Source organism: Homo sapiens, chromosome 13, assembly GCF_000001405.40.
Source record: "Homo sapiens chromosome 13, GRCh38.p14 Primary Assembly".
Taxonomy (NCBI): Eukaryota; Metazoa; Chordata; class Mammalia; order Primates; family Hominidae; genus Homo; species Homo sapiens.
In genome coordinates, this window is record NC_000013.11 from 38,856,597 (window position 1) to 38,879,043 (window position 22,447).

At 37.4% G+C, this 22,447-nt stretch overlaps 1 protein-coding gene across 1 annotated transcript in view, besides 1 other annotated feature; it reads left to right on the top strand.

Moving 5' to 3' along the window:
- The window catches only part of FREM2 (FRAS1 related extracellular matrix 2), a 200,055-nt gene that overhangs the window by 169,520 nt on the left and 8,088 nt on the right, over positions 1–22,447 (top strand). Inside the window, exons 13-23 of the mRNA NM_207361.6 lie at positions 1,279–1,437; positions 2,691–2,994; positions 4,835–4,966; positions 7,679–8,010; positions 16,146–16,338; positions 17,886–17,990; positions 19,426–19,553; positions 19,652–19,786; positions 20,521–20,647; positions 21,538–21,725; positions 22,235–22,381. Of these exons, the coding sequence (NP_997244.4) occupies positions 1,279–1,437; positions 2,691–2,994; positions 4,835–4,966; positions 7,679–8,010; positions 16,146–16,338; positions 17,886–17,990; positions 19,426–19,553; positions 19,652–19,786; positions 20,521–20,647; positions 21,538–21,725; positions 22,235–22,381 (1,950 nt within the window). The remainder of the gene's footprint in view (positions 1–1,278; positions 1,438–2,690; positions 2,995–4,834; positions 4,967–7,678; positions 8,011–16,145; positions 16,339–17,885; positions 17,991–19,425; positions 19,554–19,651; positions 19,787–20,520; positions 20,648–21,537; positions 21,726–22,234; positions 22,382–22,447) is intronic.
- Positions 16,221–16,310: a silencer, noted in NCBI's record as "silent region_5274". NCBI's record gives its function as "represses an Ori minimal core promoter by ATAC-STARR-seq in GM12878 lymphoblastoid cells {active_cell/tissue: GM12878}" and the evidence as "EXISTENCE:reporter gene assay evidence [ECO:0000049][PMID:35858748]".

A 22,447-nucleotide genomic window follows, 5' to 3' on the forward strand; every position in this document is an offset into this window, starting at 1 on the left:
AGGGAACTATTAATTCAGTGCCACAACTCATAAAACATATTCGAACCCACAAAGCAGTTAGCTAACCCTCCAAATCAAAGTCTGTTTCTCCTGGCTTTATCAGAATTTGATGTCCACAGCCTCATGATCAAAATGTTGCAGTCCTAAATCTTGTTTTCTATACTTACTTAATTTATATTGTCTCACTAACCAGGTTTTCCTCAAAATGAACATAATTCCACAGAATGTTGACCTTTATATTGGAAATAATTTTTAAAACTACGTGTCTTTTTGGAATGTATTAATTTTTTATGTCTTTGCTTACATTTACTGTATTACTTTTTTTTATTTGTTTCACTTTAGTATGAGTTCAAGCTGGGAAACGTTTTTCCTTAAATATTTTTATCATTTTGTAATCTTTACTGCTTGATGGTTTTTCTACTACAGTGCCTTGCTTTTTATCAAGTTATTTAAAACTCAAGTATGGGCAATCTTTATCAAATATAGTTTTGTGTCTTCATCACATAAGATGAATCTTTTATTATTATTTTTATGGAGTAGCGTATGAAATTCTTTTGGGTGAAAAGGATAGTCACTCAAATTACTTCCAGCGATGAAAGCTTCTTTTAAAAATATACACGTAAAGATAGTTCAGGAAACTATGCTATGTAGTCAGATGTTGGAAGGTTATTAGGGAGCCAGGGCAAACTCACAGCAAGGTGTTCTTGTCACCTTGCCCAGCAGCAGGTGTTCATAGATTCCTCTTCTGTCTGGAACTCAAATTCTCCCCTGCCTGGGTTTCAGGCAGTGCCTTCTGCCCTTGGCTGCTTCAAAGAGTTTCTTATTACTGGCATCTGCTTCATCCAGGCTCACACTATCCCATGACCTCTGTGATATTCCTTCCTTCAGAATGTCCTCCAGCTTTACTCCCACTGTCAAAGAATTGACTCCTTCATAAAATTTCCCTTCACAACCCCAAGACACATTTAGCTACTGTCATCACAACTGGAGAAAAAAAAATAAATTAGAGCCCAAACACCTCATGGGCCGCTGGCCAACCTTTGGATTGACTGCCCTGGGCTCAGCTGCCCTCCCTGGAACCATAAGATGTGAACAAGGTGCCAAGGTCATGTGCTGCAGGCCACTTAGGGCCTGTTGCTCTCCAGGGGCTCTGAGTATGACAATTTGCATCATAACGAGGCCATGGGGTTGCCAGGGATCGTGAGTATTGTTCTGTGTGGTAGAAGCATCAAAAGTTTAATATTTCACTAATCAGTGATAATTGTCTTTTCCTTCTAGTTGACGAAAGCCATTGTGTACATAGAAGAAATGAGCAGCATGGCAGATGTCACTTTTCCTTCTGTCCCTCAAATTGTATCCCTGTTGATGTATGACGACACTTCCAAAGCTAAGGAGAGTGCTGAACCCATGTCTGGCTATCCTGTCATCTGTATCACAGTGAGTAGGAGATTCACAAAATTGAGGAAAATTGTAAGATAATTATTTCAAATAATTATAATCAATATAGCATTGGCTTTGTTATGAAGAAATGAAAGTAGAAAAATACTACATGGTTTAAGCCTTGAGCTTTGCATATATAACACTAATCAAATAAAGCTCCCATTTTTCTTTCTTCACCGAACAAAGGTTCATTAACTGATGTGTACATAGTGTGTTATCTCAGTCTGTCACCAATAGAAAAATAAATAAGATATGAAGTCTGCATTCAAGATATTTAGAGATGAAGAAAAGAATATAGGAATTGGTAACTCTAATATAAGGCAAGATATAACCACTATCATGAAAATGATACAAATTAGAAGTCAGAGCTGCAGCTCCATATATGAGGGGAGGTTTGGGATGGTCAGGTGGAATTTTGACTCTTTAGGATGCAAGTCTGATAAGGGAAGGTCATTCTAGGAAGAAGGGACTGCAACGTGAGCTACAGCTAGAAAAAAATAGCATAAGAAATAGCAAATTATCACTACTTTCAAAATTTGCCTTTTCTTGACTCTAAGTTTAAGCTCCTTGTGAGCTAAAATTATGACTTACTTATGTTTATATTACAACAGCACTTCTAAAATCACTTATACAATACATGTTTATTGAGTCAACAAGGCAGAGATAATTTGGCGTCAAAGTATAGGGAGTTTTAAATGTCATATTAAGAAATTTGGACTTCATTTGTTGGGTAGCGAAGAGTTCTCACATGGAAGAATGATCAGAGGGGTTAAACTGGCAGGTTAACAGGGCAGTCGTGTGTCAGTGGACTGGAAGAAAAGATGCTGAATTAGACAGAGAAGTGCTGCTGGAAATGGAAAGGAAGGCATCAACTTAAGCAATACTGTTAAAGAAGAATCAGCCGAGTTCATGACTTACTGGATAAGGGGGGTAAGATGAGCGACAGGAAGCGGGGGAGGAAAAAAGAGAGAATAAGGATAACTGGCAAATCTGATGATTCAAGAGATTATGGTATAAATAACAATTTTACACATATTAAGTTAGAAATAGAAACATCCAATAAGCTGTTTGAAATGCAAGATTATGTTTATAAATGTTATCATGCCTGGGGATCAAAATTCGGAAGCTGTATAAACAGCATGTGGAAATTGGGGAAAGCAGCAGTGAAAACTCGATGGCAGAGAACGGGAGAAGAATGCGTTCCACCTGTTCTACACTCTGTTCCTAACACAGTCATTTGTTTTCCGTAGGCTTGCAACCCCAAATATTCAGACTACGATAAAACAGGCTCTATCTGTGCAAGTGAGAACATCAATGACACTTTGACGCGGTACCGGTGGCTGATTAGTGCACCTGCGGGCCCTGACGGTGTGACCAGCCCTATGAGAGAAGTGGACTTCGACACCTTTTTTACGTCATCCAAGATGGTCACACTGGACTCCATATACTTTCAGCCTGGCTCCCGGGTACAGTGCGCAGCTCGTGCTGTGAACACCAATGGGGATGAAGGCCTGGAGCTCATGAGCCCTATTGTAACCATCAGCAGAGAAGAAGGTCAGTCATTGCCATTTTCCCCTGAAGATCACTGGAATACTGTGCAATATTACAAATGTCTACTTTCTGGTTATTAATACTTCCAATGTCCCACATATTCCATATATTTTGTAAGTAGTGAAAAATTAAAATCTATTTTTACAAAATTATGTATTAGAAAACAAAATATTTATTCATTCTACCTTTAAGTATCTATTATATGCCAGACACAATGCTTTGTGCTGGCAATAAAATAAAGAAGACAGGATCCCTGCTTTTGAGGAATTCTTGGTCCAGTTGAAGATGCAGACACATTTTAGTCTAGACAGGGCACAGGAATGCACAGGTAGAAGTGATTAGTTTTACCCTGAGTGGGTCAGGAAAGGCTTATCAAAGAGGGGAGGCTCAAGCTGAATCTGAAAAGAGTAGAGGAAAACAAGCATGAGCAACAACTCATAAAAGCAAGAAAGAATGCGGGATATTGTGGGAATGGCAAGCAGAGAAATGGGGAAGCTTCTGAGAGGGAGAGGAGGAAAAACCAGGAGACAAGGCAAAATGGTATGCAAGGCTCAGATCTGAACAGAGCTCATGCCATGCAAGGAAACCAGCTGGTTGTTGGGTGAGTAGGATTTTGCTGGGGACGGGAGGGGAAGGGCAGTCCAGATAGAGGGGTACGTGCAAATTAACACCTTGGTATTACAAGAGAGACTGTATTTAAGGCTGGAGCAAAGACACATTGGGGATGGAGAATAGGATGTGGCTGGGGACAACATTGGAAAGACAGGAAATCCACTGTATAAATAAATCCTTCACTCTGCAGAATAATTTTTAATGAGATTTTTCTTAAAAACGGTTGTATATATTTGATTCTATTTCTAAATCATCTATTTGCACACCGCATTCAAAAGTAAATTTACTGCATAGAGGTCATATGTCCCACCTGTGACTACTATATATTCAGGATCAAATATTTAAATAATGCCTTAAAATGATTCTCTCTTTTAATAAATCAGACAGCCTCTATGCTGGGGCCTGACTCTGATTTCCTTGCTATTCTAATACATATTTGTCTATTTTCTCTGTTTTATACAAATAGATAAGTAATTGTATCTTTCCAAGTTCTCCTGAAATTATAATTCAGCGTCTTGGTTCCTTTCATGATGTTCAAATAGAAACCCCACTATTTTCCTAAAGGAAATACTGGAGAAAGAGTTTCATGTCCAAATTCTTGAAGGTCACTGGGAGATATGAGACAGAAAGAGATGAATATAAAATGGATTATAATGTATAATACACATACTGTAAAAAATTACATCTATAGAGAAAACTCTACTGTACATATTTTGCTCTCTGATTTTTAAGGAGACTTTAGTTTTTGTTCCTAAAATGAGCACAGTTTTAGTTTTATTCACTTATAAGTAATGTAAACATAACTAATGATAAGTATATTATTCTAGAGTAAAAATAACATTTACTTGGTTTAACTACACTTACTTTTATCCTACTGACTTTCAGTCATTTTTACTGTATCTGTTCATACTTTATATTTAAATGATTTTGTGAATATGACCATGACCTAGAATAACCAGCACACATTAAGTTACATTGAATGGTAACAAATTTTTTCTCAAAGTTTGAACAATCCATAAATTGTCAAGTGGCCACTAACTGTCTGCTGTGATTACTTCTCACCCTGTGGACTTCTAATTCCTTATCACGTGATGTACACTCTTAGCCATGCCCTACTCCACAGAGAAGTTGAAAGTACACAGAAAAATAATAGCTCCTATTTTCTAAAACATTCTTTAGGTATTATTGATTACCTTCTTTTCGCATAAATATGGTCTTTTTTTTTTTCAAGGTCTTTGTCAGCCCCGTGTACCTGGGGTTGTTGGAGCAGAGCCGTTCTCAGCTAAATTGCGCTACACAGGCCCTGAGGATGCAGACTACACAAACCTTATCAAGCTCACTGTCACAATGCCACACATAGATGGTAGGTGACTTGGGTAAGCAAATCCATGGAATTGTTTTGGACTCCTCATTACCTGTTGTATTTTCCTTCATCTTCTAAATAACCAAGCTTAAATAAACGTTCAATTTGCAACTTGAGCTTCAAGTCCTTCCACTTCTTTCAACTGTTTTAGCTTTGTTCTACCCTGTTTTTATAACTATGGCAGTGTAAGCATTCGTTAAAATTAGGTAGATGTAATACATATCCAGACACGATAAAACAAAACTTTGGTACCTAGTCTAGCTTTTATGAAAGAGTACAAATGCATCTTCAATCGTAAACTTGAAGTTACAGTAAAGTATTTGATATCTTAGTACCTACCTTCAACATGTGTTGCAGTTTTATAGCTGGAGTTTTATGTCTCTCTCAATATTTATCATGTAACTGTAAGACATTTCCAAGATATTTAAATAAAATAAAAAATGAAACTAACAGGTATTAAATATTGTGTCTATTTTCTCTGGCTAGGTAGCCATGACCAGAATGTGTGCATCAATAACTTTATCATACTTTATGAATATTTTACCATGTGCGGAAGGCATTTTCAAGTTATTTTCCACTCAAATCACTTTATACTTATAGCAAATTGTTAATAAAATTACTTGATATGTTAGTTATATTTTATGTAGCTAAGGGAGAGGAAATACGATTAGGAGCTGCAACGTAGAATCTACCTCCCCCAGAACAAGAACATCTGCTATGTCTTCCTATTACAACCTGAGATTTTTCTGGGGATTGGAAGGGCAGGTGGTCAGGAATCTGCATTCCTTCCTTTATAGCATAATGTTGGTCCCTGAACCACCCAGTCTGTAGGTCCATGTGGAGGTGTGACTTGAGCTGCAAAGGGCTGAGAAGGGACCCATCAGGGAAACACAGACCTATAAGAGTTATTTCCTAAAAGAAAGAGTGGTCTCTTCTGCCACTCCTAGGGCTTGGCTTTGCGTTTTCTGAATGCACTGTTCAATGTTCAATAGCCACAGTTCTGCCAGAAGTGTAGTTGAGGCTGACCACTTCTTCTGTGGGGCCGGAGTTTTGCTCTGAGTGAATCTGAGAGGAAGAGGTGTGAAAGGCTCAAAGAGAAGAACTGGTTCATAGTCTTTTGCTGTATTGCTTATGCCAGGGCTCAACACACTATGTCCTGTGGCCAAATACAGTCTGCTGCCTGTTTTCATATGGTCTGCAAGCTAGGAATAGGTTTTATATTTTTAAATGTTTGGGGAAAAAAAAAGAAGTCTACTTTTGAGACATAAAGATGGTATGGAATTCAAATCCATTGCCCATGATAAAGTTTTGTTGCACACAGTTCTGTTTCTTCTTTCACATAGTAGTGGCTTTCACTCTGATGGCAGCATTGAACAGTCAACAGAGACCTCAGGGACCACAATGCTAAAATATTTACTATTTGACCCTTTATGGAACAAATTTTCAGTCCTTAGCCTGTACTTTTTAATGGTGGTAGTTTTCAACTTTATAAAAATTTTTTTTTTGAGGCAGAGTCTCACTCTGTTACCCAGGCTGGAGTGCAGTAGCGCGATCTCAGCTCACTGCAACCTCCACCTCCCGGGTTCAAGCGATTCTCATGCCTCAGCCTCCTAAGTAGCTGGAATTACAGGCGTGCATCACCATGCCTGGCTAATTTTTGCATTTTTAGTAGAGACGGGGTTTCGCCATGTTGGTCAGGCTGGTCTCAAACTCCTGACCTCAAGTGATCCACCTGCCTTGGCCTCCCAAAGTGCTGGGATTACAGATGTGAGCCACCACGCATGGCCAGTTTTCAACATTTATGATCCAGGACATCTTAGAAATTATTGAAGATCTCAAAGAGATTTTGTTTATGTGGGTGATATCTATAAATATTTATTGGATTTTAAATTAAAACTGAGGAATTGTTATTTATTCACTTATTTAAAAATTACAAAAAGAAATACATTACATATTAACATGAAATACATCCTTTAAAAAACTATGTTATAAAACAAAAAAATGATGAGTGGCACTTTTATATTCTTGAAGATATCATTAATGTCTGACTTAATAGAAGATAACTGGATTCTCTGCTTCTGCATTCAATCTGTTGCAATTTATCATATCTTGTAGTCTCTGAAAAACTGCATTTGTGAGAGAATATGGGTGGCAAAGTCAAATAATAACTTACTATCATTGTGAAAATAGCGATTAAGTCATGGATCTCTTGAAATTTTCCTGGGGAACCCCAGGGTTCTTAGTATACCACTTTTTTATTTTTTTGTTTTTTGTAGGGGTTTTTTTTGAGGTGGAGTTTCACCTTTGATGTCCAGGCTGGAGTGCAGTGGTGCGATCTCAGCTCACTGCAACCTCTGCCTTCCGGGTTCAAGCAATTCTCCTGCCTCAGCCTCCCAAGTAGCTGGGATTACAGGCACCCGCCACCATGCCCAGCTATTGTAATTTTGGTAGAGACAGGGTTTCATCATGTTGGCCAGGCTGGTCTTGAACTCCTGACCTCAGATGATCCACCCACCTAGACCTCCCAAAGTGCCGGGATTACAGGCATGAGCCACGTCACCGGGCCTGGACACCACTTTGATCTGTATGCCATACACCACTGCTGTATGGCATTTTATGACACTTGTTTTCTTAAGAGATAAAGAAGTTTTAAAGTGTTCAAAATTCTTGGCTACTTGAAAGACTGTTAACAATGATTTCGATTTATCATAGGCATGCTCCCCGTGATCTCCACTAGAGAGCTTTCCAACTTTGAGCTCACCCTCAGCCCTGATGGCACAAGAGTTGGAAACCACAAGTGCTCCAACCTCCTGGATTATACTGAAGTGAAGACTCATTATGGTTTCTTGACTGATGCTACCAAAAATCCAGAAATAATTGGAGAGACATATCCTTACCAGTACAGCTTGTCCATCAGAGGTTCCACTACCTTGCGCTTCTACCGGAACCTGAACCTAGAGGCCTGTTTATGGGAGTTCGTTAGCTACTATGACATGTCAGAACTCCTTGCTGACTGTGGTGGCACCATTGGAACAGATGGACAGGTACAGATTTATAACATCTGAGTTTGGTCACTGGATAAACCAATTGGTTTGTTTTGTCACATAGATTTGTACTAAGTCCCAACTCCAGTTTTCCATCTTGGTGTTGTAGGTAATTATTGACAGCAAGGGACCAGACAACTGGCATGGATGGTGTGAAAATCCGTGTCTATTTCTTAACAATGGGCCAGAATATACGTAGTTTTTGACAATGGGCTAGAAACATTATATCTATGTGAAAAGGATGCTGTATAATTATTGCCTTAAGCTCAAAATCTACTCTGATATTATAAAAATCCAAATACTGACTTCTCTTCAAAGTATACACTATGTTGTTTTTGTGTTTATGTGTAGATGCCTGTGATGTTGTATCATGAGCCACCTAAAGTGAGGTTTTACAATCCTGGGAGTCAGCCTAATTTTTCTCCCTCTTTTCTGACTTTCTTCTTCCCCTACATTTTACAAAACTTTCTCTGCTTTTAGCCTCCTGTTTTACTCTCCTTCTTTTTCTTTCTGTTTTTCTCCTCTTCTTCGCTTTTTGATTCATTTATCTATCATTAACATAGTCAGAAGTGTTTTTATTAAAACTTATTGTTATTTGCACTCTACAGTTACTGATTCTTCTTCATACTACACATTCACACATAAAATACACATACACACACACAATCCTCACCCCCACCCCATCATCAGCAACAAAGTTGTTAAAATGATAAGGAAGCAAGATCTTCTTGTGGGTTACAATAGAGAACCTAAAATATGTAGGGCATGATTTAAAATTGTTATGAGTATTTGAACTAAAAGCAATGCTATAATCTTACCTGGACTAAATAAGGAGTTACATAAGTAGGTTTATGCATTGAAGTGTTGAATGATATATAGACTATATAATGCCCTTCCAGATTGAGCTAAAGTTAGGCTGCCCTTTTTTGTGCTATATTCATAAGGTGTTGAATGAAATATGTAACAACCAGTAGCAAGAAAAAACTAGATAACTAGTATGAGATAATCCCACAGTAAAGCTGTGGACTTTGACAAGTTCTGCTGGTGTTGATGTTGAATTGGACTCAGAGGTGGTGAGACATGACCATAGCCACCTTGTCAAAAAGCAGCAACATTTAGTAACTTACAGGGATTGCTAAAAATGCCAATAGAAATAGCAATAGAGAAGCAGTATAAGATGGTGGAATCTGGATATTGGAATCAAGCAAATGCTGACCAAAATTTGGCTCTGATAGTTTCTAGCTGTATGTCTTTGAGCAAGTTACTTAAACACGTATAAGTGTTCATCCTGTAGATTCCTCTTTCCTAACCTGTTTTTGCCACCTGAAAGAAACATGGAAAAATAAAGATTCAATCCCTAGAAGAAAAATAAAGGCTCATATTAACAAATCTACCTCTTTTTCTTTATAGATCAGGTATCTCTACTTCCTTCATGTCTTCCTTACAAAGCTGCCTTCAATCCATTACTAAATTATTTCTATTTCCTTTCTGGTTGCTTTTCTCTCAGATTGTTGCTTACATCACAGCATCTATTGGTATAAACAAAATTGGATATAGAAATAGGATTATGTTGTAGTTCTCATTCCTTGTTAAAATCGTTTCATACGCCAGGAGCAGTGACTTCATGCCTGTAATCCCAGCACTTTGGGAGGCCGAGGCGGGCAGATCACCTGAGGTTGGGAGTCCAAGAGCAGCCTGACCAACATGGAGAAACCCCGTCTCTACTAAAAAAAAATACAAAAATTAGCTGGGTGTGGTGGTGGGCTCCGTAATCCCAGCTACTCAGGAGGCTGAGGCAGGAGAATCACTTGAACCCGGGAGGCAGAGGTTGCAGTGAGCCGAGATCACGCCACTGCACTCCAGCCTAGGCAACAGAGCGAGACTCTGTCAAAAAAAATAAAATAAAATAAAATTAGCCGGGCGTGGTGGCGCATGCCTGTAATCCCAGCTACTCAGGAGGCTGAGGCAGGAGAATCGCTTGAACTGGGAGGCGGAGGTTGTGGTGAGCCGAGATCGCGCCATTGCACTCCAGCCTGGGCAACAAGAGTGAAACTCCATCTCAAAAAAAAAAAAAAAAAATCACTTCATGCTATTGAACTTCTCTGTGGATCTCATCTAGTTTATAGTCTGTTTTTACCCTTAAGAATGTTTTCTATCTTCTCCACAAAGTGGCAGCACTTCTCCGTCTTTTGTCCATGTTACACAGGTAGCCTTTTCTATCAGTAATAAAAACCCTGCACTTGCCTGCCTAAGCTTTATCCTATTATATCTGTCCACTTTTTTAATGTAGCAAGGCTGTTTTATTTTGAATGCAAAGCCTGCCCTCTACTGTGTTCATTCTTCAAATCAAATCTTACTGTAAAATTTAGATCAGCTAAAGTGACTATACTTTGCTAGATTTTTAAAATTCCAGTTCCTTTATCAAATTATTTGTGCTCAGTATTTTTTTTCTTCCTATGACTGCCAGCTAGAAAAGTCATTACTCTGCTTCTCTATTGGAACTGACAACAGTCCTACTCCATTAGGTGAAAATCAGCAATTGTAGGTTTTCAGTTAAGTTTTTCCTGCTAGAAAAGCTTATGTTCCATAATACTAGAAGAGAGTGCAATATAAGAATTACAACATAATTCAGTTCTTAATAGTCTGTGCTACTTTCTTAAGGAAGATGGCTAACTTGTATGAGTTCCTTCTGAAAGACTTCTGCTTTTGCATTGTTAAACATTAATAGCATAACCATCATGATCAATATCATAGTGATGACCAGATTCAGAGTAAATCATTGAGATTTTAGGATCTTGTTATAAAATTCTAAAATCCTTATTGTAAATTAAATGGTAATACAATTTAATAAAACATGTTGCTTACTCTCTTGAAGTGAAACTTAGAGATGTTGTGTTAGTCAGGGTTCTCCCCAGAGACAGAACCAATAGAATAGATAGATGAGAAGGGATTCCTTATGAGAATTAGCTCACGAGATCGTAGAGACTGAACAGTTCCATGGCAGGCCATCTGCAAGATGGAGAACCAGGGAAGCCAGTGGTGTGGCCCACTCCAAGAGGCCAAAGGCCTGAGAACCCAGGTTAAGTCCCCAAGTCTAAACACCAGAGAACTGGGAGTTCTGATATCCAAGGGCAGGAAAAGAAGAGTGTCCCAGCTCCGAGAAAGAGAGAGAGATAATTCACAACCACTCTTTGAGATAAGTACTATTTTTGTCCTTTTCTTTTCCTTTTTTGTCTATCTAGGCCTCAGCCAATTTGGTGGTGCCCACTTACATTGAGTGAGGATGGGTCTTCCTTACTCAGTCCACGGATTCAAATGCCAGTCTTTTCTGGAAACACTCTCATGGACACACCCAGAAATAATGCTTTACCCACTATCTGGGTATCCCTTAGTCTAGTAAAGCTGACACCTAAAATTAACCATCATAGATGGCGGTCCCATTTTCTTCTACCTTCTTCACTGAGGTTAAGTTTCTACTTTTCCCCTTGCTGTTGATAGTCTCCTACACCCTCACCTCAACATACACGCACATATTATTTACACATAGGTGAGGGAGAAGAAAATAAAAATTAAAGTAGAAGAAATTCAACCCTCTGAGATATTGCCCTAATTTTCCTCCATTAGTTTTGGCTTATAGTGAAGAGAACAAAATATCTAATAATAGTACTAACAATAACAGTAAGCACAATGATAGTTGTAATAGCTTACATTTATTGATTGTTTACTACATGCCTGCCATTCCTCTAAATACTTTGTATATTTCCACTCATTCTAGCCTCACAACAACCCTTTGAGATAAGTACAAGTTTTGAAGCAAAGAGAATTCAAATAACTAGCCCAGGTTCGTGTAGCTTGTACACCTATGCTGTTAAACACATCATAATGCTTATCTGGGCATTAAATTGAATGTGAGTGAATGTGAGAAATGGATATGGTCATGGATGCAATTGCAAGAAAGCCAGGTGAACTTTTTCCTTTGTCCTTGGTACAAGTATGCTGCCTGACAGCATTCATGAAAATACGTGCCAGATAACATCCACACCCACTGTTGGTAAAACGGTGCAAATCCATGTCCTAACAACAGTGGTCTACAGCTTCATCTGAATACAGGCAGATCAGTGTTGAATGCAAGCATATTTCATGAGATGGCACCTGAAGGAAAGCAAAGTAAATGCTTGGTAAATTCTACTTTATACTCTATTTTGGAATGTCATGAGAGCCTTCCAAACTTTTGCATTTCAGCATTAAGGATGGGAAAATGGAGAAAAATAAAAAGCAAACCATCAGCACAGACTCCATGTGCTTCAGAGGCTTCGTGGTTTTATTGACCACCCCAGGAAACAGCCCCTGCAGCAAGCCAGTGCTGACCCAGGTCTGTTTGTCCTCAACAATCCCACAGAGCCCAGGCCAAGCGCCTAGCAGACATTACTTGCCCTCCTCTAGTCCTTTCCCAAATTTGGCATCTCAGCTCAAGGTAATCACTGTGCAAACACATTTTATCAACTGGCAATTGCTTTTGCTAGGAACAACATGATAGAGAATTGATTTTTTAAATGTGTTCTTAGTAGCTAAAGCTACCACCATAAAATATTGCCAAGTCCCTGCATTTTTCTTTGTAAATGAAAATCAACACACTCTGTAAGGGTTTTCTGCCTTCTCCAACCTCCCAATTTCGATTATTTACCTTATTAGTTAACAGGATAGTTATCTGTTAACAGCAATGAAGTGTGATTAACTTTTATGCAGCTAGACTACATCTAGCTTCAGCTATTATTAAAACTATATCTGATTTTGCCATCTCATTTATTTGTACATTCATTCATTAAAGAAATATTCCATGAACACCTACTCTGTGCCAGGGAACATACCAAGTACTCATGAGGACACCAGACATGAAGCTTACGGAGGAACAAAGTCGTTACAAGAGTCAGATCATCACTCATAAAAGTTAAGAATTTTACTTGCCAAGAAAAACAAATTTGGAATTTCTCTAATGATATTTAACTCTAAAATCATTTTAATAGTTTCTAAAATATAAACACAGATAAATAGCAGGAAAAGCAAAATAGAGATGAATTAAATAAATGATTCCACTCTACCTTTGTGTGTGACACCTATTTTGTAAATAAAATTTAAAGTTGTTTGGGTTCACAATAAAAAACACTTTAGATGCAAAATGGTTATTAAAGTTAAATTAAGTTCTTAGAACTATCAGATAGTTTGGTAGTTTTTCTCTTGAAAACAATTTTTTAAAATAATTGAAGACTGCAGATCATTTGATCTTTTATTGTCCTGGCTAGCTGTTTTGCGACATAGAATCTTAACTCTCCCATTTGTTTACAGGTAAACAGCGACTGATAACATCGTTCAGTGTGCATGAATAAGCTACAGAAATGCAACCCCAATCACAGTTTTCACTTAAAACATGAAATTATAATGTACTTATCAGAAGACATAGAATAATTTTGGAAAAGTAAACAAATTTTTTTCTTAGTTGCTTTAGGGAATAATTATGCCTCTTTTTTACTATGTATTTGATTTAGATATATGAAACTTTGAGGCTGGAATATACTTGAGGTCATTTTTCCATCCCATTGTTTTATACTTTGTACACTGATACTCTTTTATATGTAAGCCACTCTCAATTATTTTGCAGGATATATACTTACCCCAGTGTGTAGCAGAATAAATTTGACAGTGTGTTACTTTTTCCATGGTATTTGCATTTTACACTTTCCTTTTAAATATGGAATTTAAAGTATTGCTTGCCTTTGATGAAGAAACTTCAAACAGCAATAGGGACATATGAAATCACTCATTGTGTCTCGGTTTCTTTAAGATTTGACAGATATTTATTTCAGTATAAACAAATACCTCGAAAAGTCCTGTGATACAGGCTGAAAGAAAATTAAGTGCTTTTTAAGTTGACATCTAAATGTTAGAATGATTGCATTGCACTCTTCACTTTTGAAGAAGGTAGGTGATCTAGATGGTCAAGATAGTTTCATTTAGGCTCCAGTTCCTCCAGGTAGAGATTCTAAGTAGACAGAAAGAAGACCTAGCCATGGGTACTAAGAAAATGCAATGGAATGCTGATTCTGTGTCCAAAAATGATCAAGCTCTAGTTTACCACAACATCAAATAAAATCAAATCAGAATTAGTTGGGGAGCTGTACTCCAAGTAACTTATTCATAGGAAGTGAGTATTAGTAATTCCCTCCAAAATAGCATACTCAGTAACATTTGATGGATAGAATATAACATTGGAAAAAATTATTCTTAGCACCTATAAAGCTTAATTGGAAATCTATTCCTAAAACCTAATTATTTTTTAAAATCATGGTTTATTAAAATTGTAAGGTAAAATATTAATCTTAAGGACTAGTGGCATATGGGTTGACTTAGTCACCGTCCATTTCCCTGCACTTCAAAATCAATTGCTCAATGAGGTAATAACAGCCGCCCATAGAAACTACTGTCTCAAAGGACTTTTAATGCAAAGCACCTCTCCTGCTGGCCAGGCTAGCAGGTAAGAGGGAATGCTAACTACTATACTATACAGCTAAGAATGAAATAACTGGTTTGGTTGATGGTTCTTTTCTATATATTTTTATTAGGGATTCAGGTCATCATTTTTGTGACATGAGCAGTTTACTTTTAACTTCATAAGAATGTTCTAAATTATAGTTCTCATGATTTAAATTATTTGCTAACTCATGCCTGTGATTCTTGTTGTGAGCTGTGTGGAAGGAGAACTAGACCATAATCAGACAGCCTGACTCAAACTTCTATGGAGTGTGATCTGACCTAAGTCCTTTCCTCTTGTGTAGAAGAGGCTAGTTGTATTTGTCCTACTATTGTGCAGAGCTATTTTGAGAATGAAATATGATAGCCTTTGTTAGATGACCTTAGGACTGCCTTCATCTTTGTTTGGAATACGATGAAGTAAGACAGAATAGAAAAAAAACATGGGCCAAAAGCTGAGTTCTGATCTTGTCCGAGCCATTCAGGAGGTTTAGAGAATACTGTGGGACATTTACCTTTTTCCTTTGAGTCTTAATTTTATCTTTGTCTCTTTCTATCCGTCATCCATTGACCATCCAACTATCCATCCATACATGCAAAATAATTATGGTGGAGAGTGAAAATATTAAATAGTGTTTATTCAGAAACTAGTACAGTTTCTGAAATATGGTAAGTACTCAATATATAAATATTAGTTTATCCTCCACTATTCCCAACCCATCTGCTAAACACCAGAAGGAGGAAAGTATAAAATTCAAGGCAAGACACTTCATTTCAACTAATTATTCTTGAGATATTATAAATGTTATATGTTATTAGTAAATATATTTGCTTCCAGATCTATGTTTCATATTCCCTTAATAAAAAAGTAGCTCATAGCAGCATTTTTTATAATAGCCAAAAACTGGAAACAACCCAAATGGCCATGAAGTGATAAATAGATAAATGAAATGTAATATGTGCATACAATGGGCTGCAATTCATTAACAGGGGAATTAAGTATTGAAACGTGCTCAAACATGGATGCACCTTGAAAACATTATGCTAAATGAAAGAAATCTATCACAAAAAAACACATTTTGTATGATTCCATTTATATGAAATGTCCAGGATAGACAAATACATAAAGACCTAGTGGTTTCCAGGGACTGACGGGGAGGAGGGATTGGGGGTGACTGCTAATAAGTACAGGCTTCCTTTTGGAGGTGATGAAAATCTTCTAAAATTGATTGTGTTGGTTGCACAGCTCCTTAAATATACTAAGAACCATTGAACTGTTTACTTTAAATAGGTGAATTACATGGTATGTAAACTATCTTCATAAAACTGCTCTAAAGAGGATTTTGTAAGTATAGTATGCTCAAAATAATGCACTGTCTTAAGGATTTCTGGTACATATCCTTTGTTGCCAATGAAGGTAATTAGTAACAACTATTTAATCGATCCAAAATTAAGTGAGGGGAAAATAGTGTTATAAAATGCTGTCATTTCCTCTTCTCAATGATTACTCAAAATCTTCAGTTAAGCGAAAAGAGAAAATGGCTTGTACAAAATTAGGCCCACTTAGTTAACACTGAGTCATGTTGATTGATGTAATTTTGTTGTTTTAGGTCCTAAACCTAGTGCAGTCCTATGTGACCCTTCGAGTCCCTCTGTATGTTTCCTACGTGTTCCATTCCCCCGTGGGGGTAGGAGGCTGGCAGCATTTTGACTTGAAGTCAGAGCTTCGTCTAACTTTTGTGTACGACACCGCCATCTTGTGGAATGATGGAATTGGCAGCCCCCCAGAGGCTGAACTTCAAGGTGAGTTCAGAAGACTTGGAAAATTCTATAGTTTTGTAACCTATTTAAACTATTTAAGACGATTTTTTTTTGCCATTGCTAAAAGTAGTACTAGCAAATTTCAGTATATTTTCATTTTCTATCTATAATAAGATAATTTCACCTTTTTCATCAAAAAACTCTTTAAACCATATTAGGGCTTTAAATTTTGTGCAATATGTGATTATTAAATATGACTTTATATATTTCATGGATATTTTATCCTTGCGATCTATTTTAGGTGATTAATTATTTATGTGTTACATAACACAACATATATATTTTTCTGAATTCTAGAAAATGGATAGAGGAAGCTCCAACGAAAGCAAGAAATGACCAAGGGAAAAAGTTACACATTTTTATTTCTGAAAAAAAGAGGTGCATTTAAATTAAATACAAATTATGGCCTGAATTCTAGTCATGACTCTACAACTAACTAGCTGTGAGATCTCAAGCATATTGCTTAACCTTTCTGGGACTTAACTTTTTCTGAATGATAGACACAACTTCTAATATCTCTTTCTGATGTAAAATTCTATTACTCTGGGGTACTTTAGTTGAATGTCTGCGAACTCGGATTGTGAATGCCACTAGTTCGAGTTCGCGAGCATTTGCAAAACTTGGTTTCAATCTCCATGTTAGACTCATAGTTCAAAGTCCACAAGCATCAATCTAATCCATTAGTAGGACGAGTGCTTTTTCTTTTTCAGACATGTATTACTGTTCCGATTCCACAAACATCCATAGTGTCATGCCAGTACTGCATTTTACTAGCCAGCAGGAAAACAGAGTTAATAGTGCACCTCAAATGTAAATCTACTCTCTTAAGTGGATTAAAACCTATTTATGCTCTGTTCATTTTGTTGTTGTCTTTTTTTCTCCATGTTTCATTTTGAATAGTTTCTATTTTAGAGCTATGTGACAGGTAATATGATAACCCTGAGTTATGATTCCAAATTATTTCAAATGTTTTAAGTCCGTGTCTTGTTTTAGAAGATGTATATTTAAGTTAATCTTAATGAGGATTTTTCTGTGGTTCCCAACCTCCACATAGGATCTCTTGTTTCCATCTGATTTCTGGAGCCAAATTTTATCAAACTGCTAAATTTCTTGGGAAAGCTTCAGAGGTTTCTTTAAGTCTATAAAATTAGGAATAATTCTGGATAACTCAAACCTATTTCTATTTACATGTCCGAATCTCCATCATTTTGACAATTTTGTCATGCCTCTCAATTTACAGCTTCATTTTTATAAACTCAGATTTTAAAAAAACTTGGTCTATTGTAAGTAATCTGTGTATTTCATAGTGACTTCACTCATGTTACTTAATAATTCATTTTGGCTCCCTTTTCTGCTTAGAAAAGAAAATGAAGATACTTCTGCCTCTGTTATTCAGAATTCTTCTGATAATACCCTTTGCCCAGAATGTTTAAAGACAAGTCAAACCTGAATTAATTTTTGGAAGGAATCTGTACATAAGGGGTCTCTGGCTACATATATTTTCATTCTTGGTACTCTCCCCATTATAGGTTCTCTCTATCCAACCAGCATGCGCATCGGTGATGAGGGGCGCTTGGCCGTGCACTTCAAGACAGAGGCTCAGTTCCATGGCTTATTTGTGCTGTCACATCCCGGTAAGCCCCGTTATCTTTTAACAACCACTCCTCACACAAAAAGGAGGTAGATTTTCCATCTTCACACATTTCAGCGTGCTTCTCTGTTACCACTGAAGCCCTTAATCTCAAATGAATTGTACATGTGGGATTATCTCCATGAGAGCTTGATAATTGTTCAGCTTCACCTCATAATCCACAAAATTATCATTATGCAGACTTTCAGAGAAAATGCAAAATAATTAGAGTAAAATTAAAAGGAAACCCTATTGAGTTCATTTTAAGTAAAGTTTTCCTTAAAGAGCATAGGAATAATCATTTCTTTCTCTGCTTTGCTTCCATTGTACAAATCGAATTGCAGATGATTCATTCAGCAAGCACTTCTCTTTTCACAGCTTTTTGCTAGGTACTGTGAGAAACCCTTTTAATAGGGTCAGAGGAGGTACTTCACTTTCATATTTAAGTTTTGGACATGTTAATTATGTTTAATAAGTATTGGCTATGCAATTTTACTAACTGTGATTCGCTGTGCTTTGAATATCAACAAGGCAGCAGTCGATAAAATCCCACGTCTAACTTCATTTGTTTTTTGTTTTTTTTTAACAAGGACATTTCACTAGAAAGAGCTTATTTTTTATTTGACTCTCCATATTACCAGTTTAGTAACATGGAGAGTCAAATAAAAAATAAGCCATTTTTCTGCCAGCTTATATTAGATTGGGAAAGGGAAAATAGTTCACTCAACATCTTTATAGCTTTTCTTTTTCTGGACTTGAACTCTAACAAAAGAGAATAGGGCTGAATAATTAGGAAGAGAAAGAGGCTTCATTGTATTTTTATGGAACTGAGCTACAAGAAAGAAAGAACCCAAAAAAATCATTTTGCTTTATTGTATTTGACAGTTCTGGAAAATGAGGATTTTCTGGTCTATACAGTTTTCTTCTACATGCCTACCTTTCTAATAAACTGAATCTTTGTGTAGCCATGATTGCAGGCAATCTAACTAAAATCAGACTCCATTCATAAATTGGGTTTGCCCAGCTGTGTGGATACTAATAGACTATTTTAAGTTCAGCTCGTAACTTCAGTGCACAATAAATGCATTCACATCACCCTTTATTGTGCTGCTGTGACTCCCCAGAAAGTAGCTCTGAACAATTTGAGCATTTCTGTACAATTATCTTTTGACAAAACTATAGAGCAGAAACAGTACTGAAGTAGGAATCAGAAAGTCACATCCTAGCTGTGTGATCTTTGGAAAGTCACACAGTCACTCACAGCCCAGTTTCTTCATCTGCCAGAGGAGGATAATTATACTAACCATGACTGCTTTGCAGCCTTCTTATAAAAACAGAAGCAAATAATGTATGATCATTTATTTTGAAAACTCTAAACTGTTATGCACTCTTTTAATTGAACCACTATATCATTATTATAATTACTGGCACTTTCCTAGCATCCTTTACAAGCTCAGTGATCATGTCAGCTGATCATCCAGGCCTGACATTTTCCCTCCGCCTCATAAGGAGTGAACCAACCTATAACCAGCCAGTACAGCAGTGGAGCTTTGTCTCTGACTTTGCCGTAAGTGACTAAGACTCTTAATTAATTTTCTTCTGCTGCTGCCATCTGATTACACCTCAGATTTTTAAATGTAATATATCAATATCTTCTCCTCAAAGGTACGTGACTACTCAGGGACCTATACTGTGAAGCTGGTGCCATGCACTGCCCCATCACATCAGGAATACCGCCTGCCAGTCACCTGCAACCCCAGAGAACCTGTCACCTTTGACCTTGACATCCGATTCCAACAGGTGTGGCTTATAGAATTACTATCTTATGACTTGCAGAATCCCACTTTGTTTTTCATTTATTAGTAAAAAAAAAAAAAATCCACACGTGAATGACTTTAATTCTTGCATGCTGAAAAGAAAAGAAATCAGACAGTTAAGGAAGCTAGGGATAAAAGAATGAGGAGAGATTTGCCCTTTATCTGTTGTTAGTACAGGATGTAAAATTCAGAGTTTAAATGTATGCAATGGTTATTTTTTTCTTATCTGATCTTATCTTGTGTCCTCCTGAAGTTTGCTGTCTTGGAGATTTGAGAATTTTCCCCGCACTTCTGCATTTCTTTTCTTGTTCTTCTCTAAAGAGAATGAAATCCTGTAGCTCAAACCACCTCAAAGTACCTAATTGCCATTATGTATTATAAAAAATGTGATGGCATCTTTTTTTCAAGAATTTTTACTGTTGGCCTTCTACTGACAATGATATTTACAAGTCCTTTATATACCCCAATAAACCAGTGGAAATGAGCTCAAGCAATGCTGTTTAGTCCCATTCAAAAAATGACTTGATCCCACCAGTTTTGCCTTCTCAAGGACAAAAGCAATGTTACAACTCTCTGAGTTAGCTTGGTAGGGTGTGAAAATTGCGATGCAGTGTTTAGTGTTCTACAGTGTACGGTGAATGTATGTATCTGTGAACAGTATGTTTGTGCACCATCAGAACCACTGATGCATAAAAGAACTTTTACCTTTGGTTTTAGGTCAGTGATCCAGTGGCTGCTGAGTTTAGCTTGAACACCCAAATGTACCTGCTCTCTAAGAAGAGTCTCTGGTTGTCTGATGGATCCATGGGATTCGGGCAAGAGAGTGATGTTGCTTTTGCAGAAGGTATCACTTTACAAATGAGAGGGATGCTCTGTTTGTCATGTATATCTTTTGTGCTTTGCTTTTTGGGGATTGTGTTTGAGGGGGCAAATTATAGCTTTTTTTATGGTTTTGAGAATGTAACTGGGTCTTTACCCACTCTGGCTGGTGTGGGAAGTCGTTGCGATTGGGTATATGTAACTGGGTATCTTTTTTTTCTGAGGAAGCTAATCTCTAGCTGTCTTACCTAAGTGACTTTTGGAACAAGTCTAGATGATTTTCTCGAATGTTTTTTTTCAATCTGTGTAAACTTAAATGCTGCAGCTACATGAGACTGTAAATGCCTCTCAGGCAAAGATTGTGCCTGCCTTACTCAATGGTGTATATTCAGCACCCAGCACACATACCTAGCAGAAATACCTGGCACTCATGGTAGGGGTTCAATAATAGTTATGAAATAAAGAATTGAACACCAGGGGGTTTCATTAAACCCTCTTTCAGAAACAAATAACGTTAATTAGGCTTTGTATTGATACTTTCTTTCTTAGTGTTATTCTATATTGTATCAGTATATATCTTATCAACTTATTTTTGTAAACTGGACTTGGACCACAATGGGATATTATTAATGCCAAATTATAGGCCAGATCTTTGAAATTATTCACACTAGTGGCTGAGCATCTGAGACTCAATAAATCTTTAGTCACTTCTGGTCAGTCTGCAAAGTGGTCTTACCTGAGGCCTGAGAATGTACCAGATCTTGAAGCTCATGCAAACAGGCCTTCAACATTTGATAGTAGATGAGGGTGGCAAGGAAATAATCTCTGTGTCCTCATTGTCATAACCTGTTTACAGTGTCACGTTGATATACCTTATCATATAACAGAAATAACATTTCCACATCTCTATTTCAGGTGATATAATTTATGGTCGTGTCATGGTGGATCCTGTCCAGAATCTGGGTGACTCCTTTTACTGCAGCATTGAGAAGGTGTTTCTATGCACTGGAGCTGATGGCTATGTTCCCAAGTATAGTCCAATGAATGCAGAATATGGCTGCTTAGCCGACTCTCCTTCACTCTTATATAGATTTAAAATTGTGGTAAGTGCTTTGACCCAAAAAATGAGCTAGATAGATTTTTCAAAGTTCAGCCTCCTTGTCTTATATTTAAAAACAAGGCTGGGCACAGTGGCCACACTATAGTCCCAGCACTTTGGGAGGCCAAGGTAGAAGGATCACTTGAAGCCAGGATTTCAAGACCAGCCTGGGCAACATAGTGAGACCCCATCTCTACAAAAAATTTTAAAAAATTAGCCGAGCATCGTGGCACATGCCTGGAGTCCCAGCTACTTGGGAGGCTGAGGTGGGAAGATTGCTTAAGTCAGGAAGTTCAATCTATGATCATGCTACTGCACTCTAGCCTGGGTGACAGAGAAGGTCCCCGTCTCTTAAAAAAAATAGAAAAACCAACAAAATGATCATTTTTAGTAAACCAAATGGTGACATTTTATAGTAATTTGTACTTGCACAAAACAAATAGAGAAACATGCTGTCCTGGCAAAAGCCGTGGCATTATCTACAGCAATCACCACTTTCCTTACTGCTTAAAGGACAAAGCTCAGCCAGAGACACAAGCGACCAGTTTTGGAAATGTCCTATTTAATGCCAAACTAGCAGTGGATGACCCTGAAGCCATTCTCTTAGTGAATCAGCCTGGATCTGATGGATTTAAAGTCGACTCAACACCACTCTTTCAGGTAGGCCAAAAACAAGCTCATTTGTAGTAGTTGTGTACCCACATGCAAGTTATGGAACATTTATAT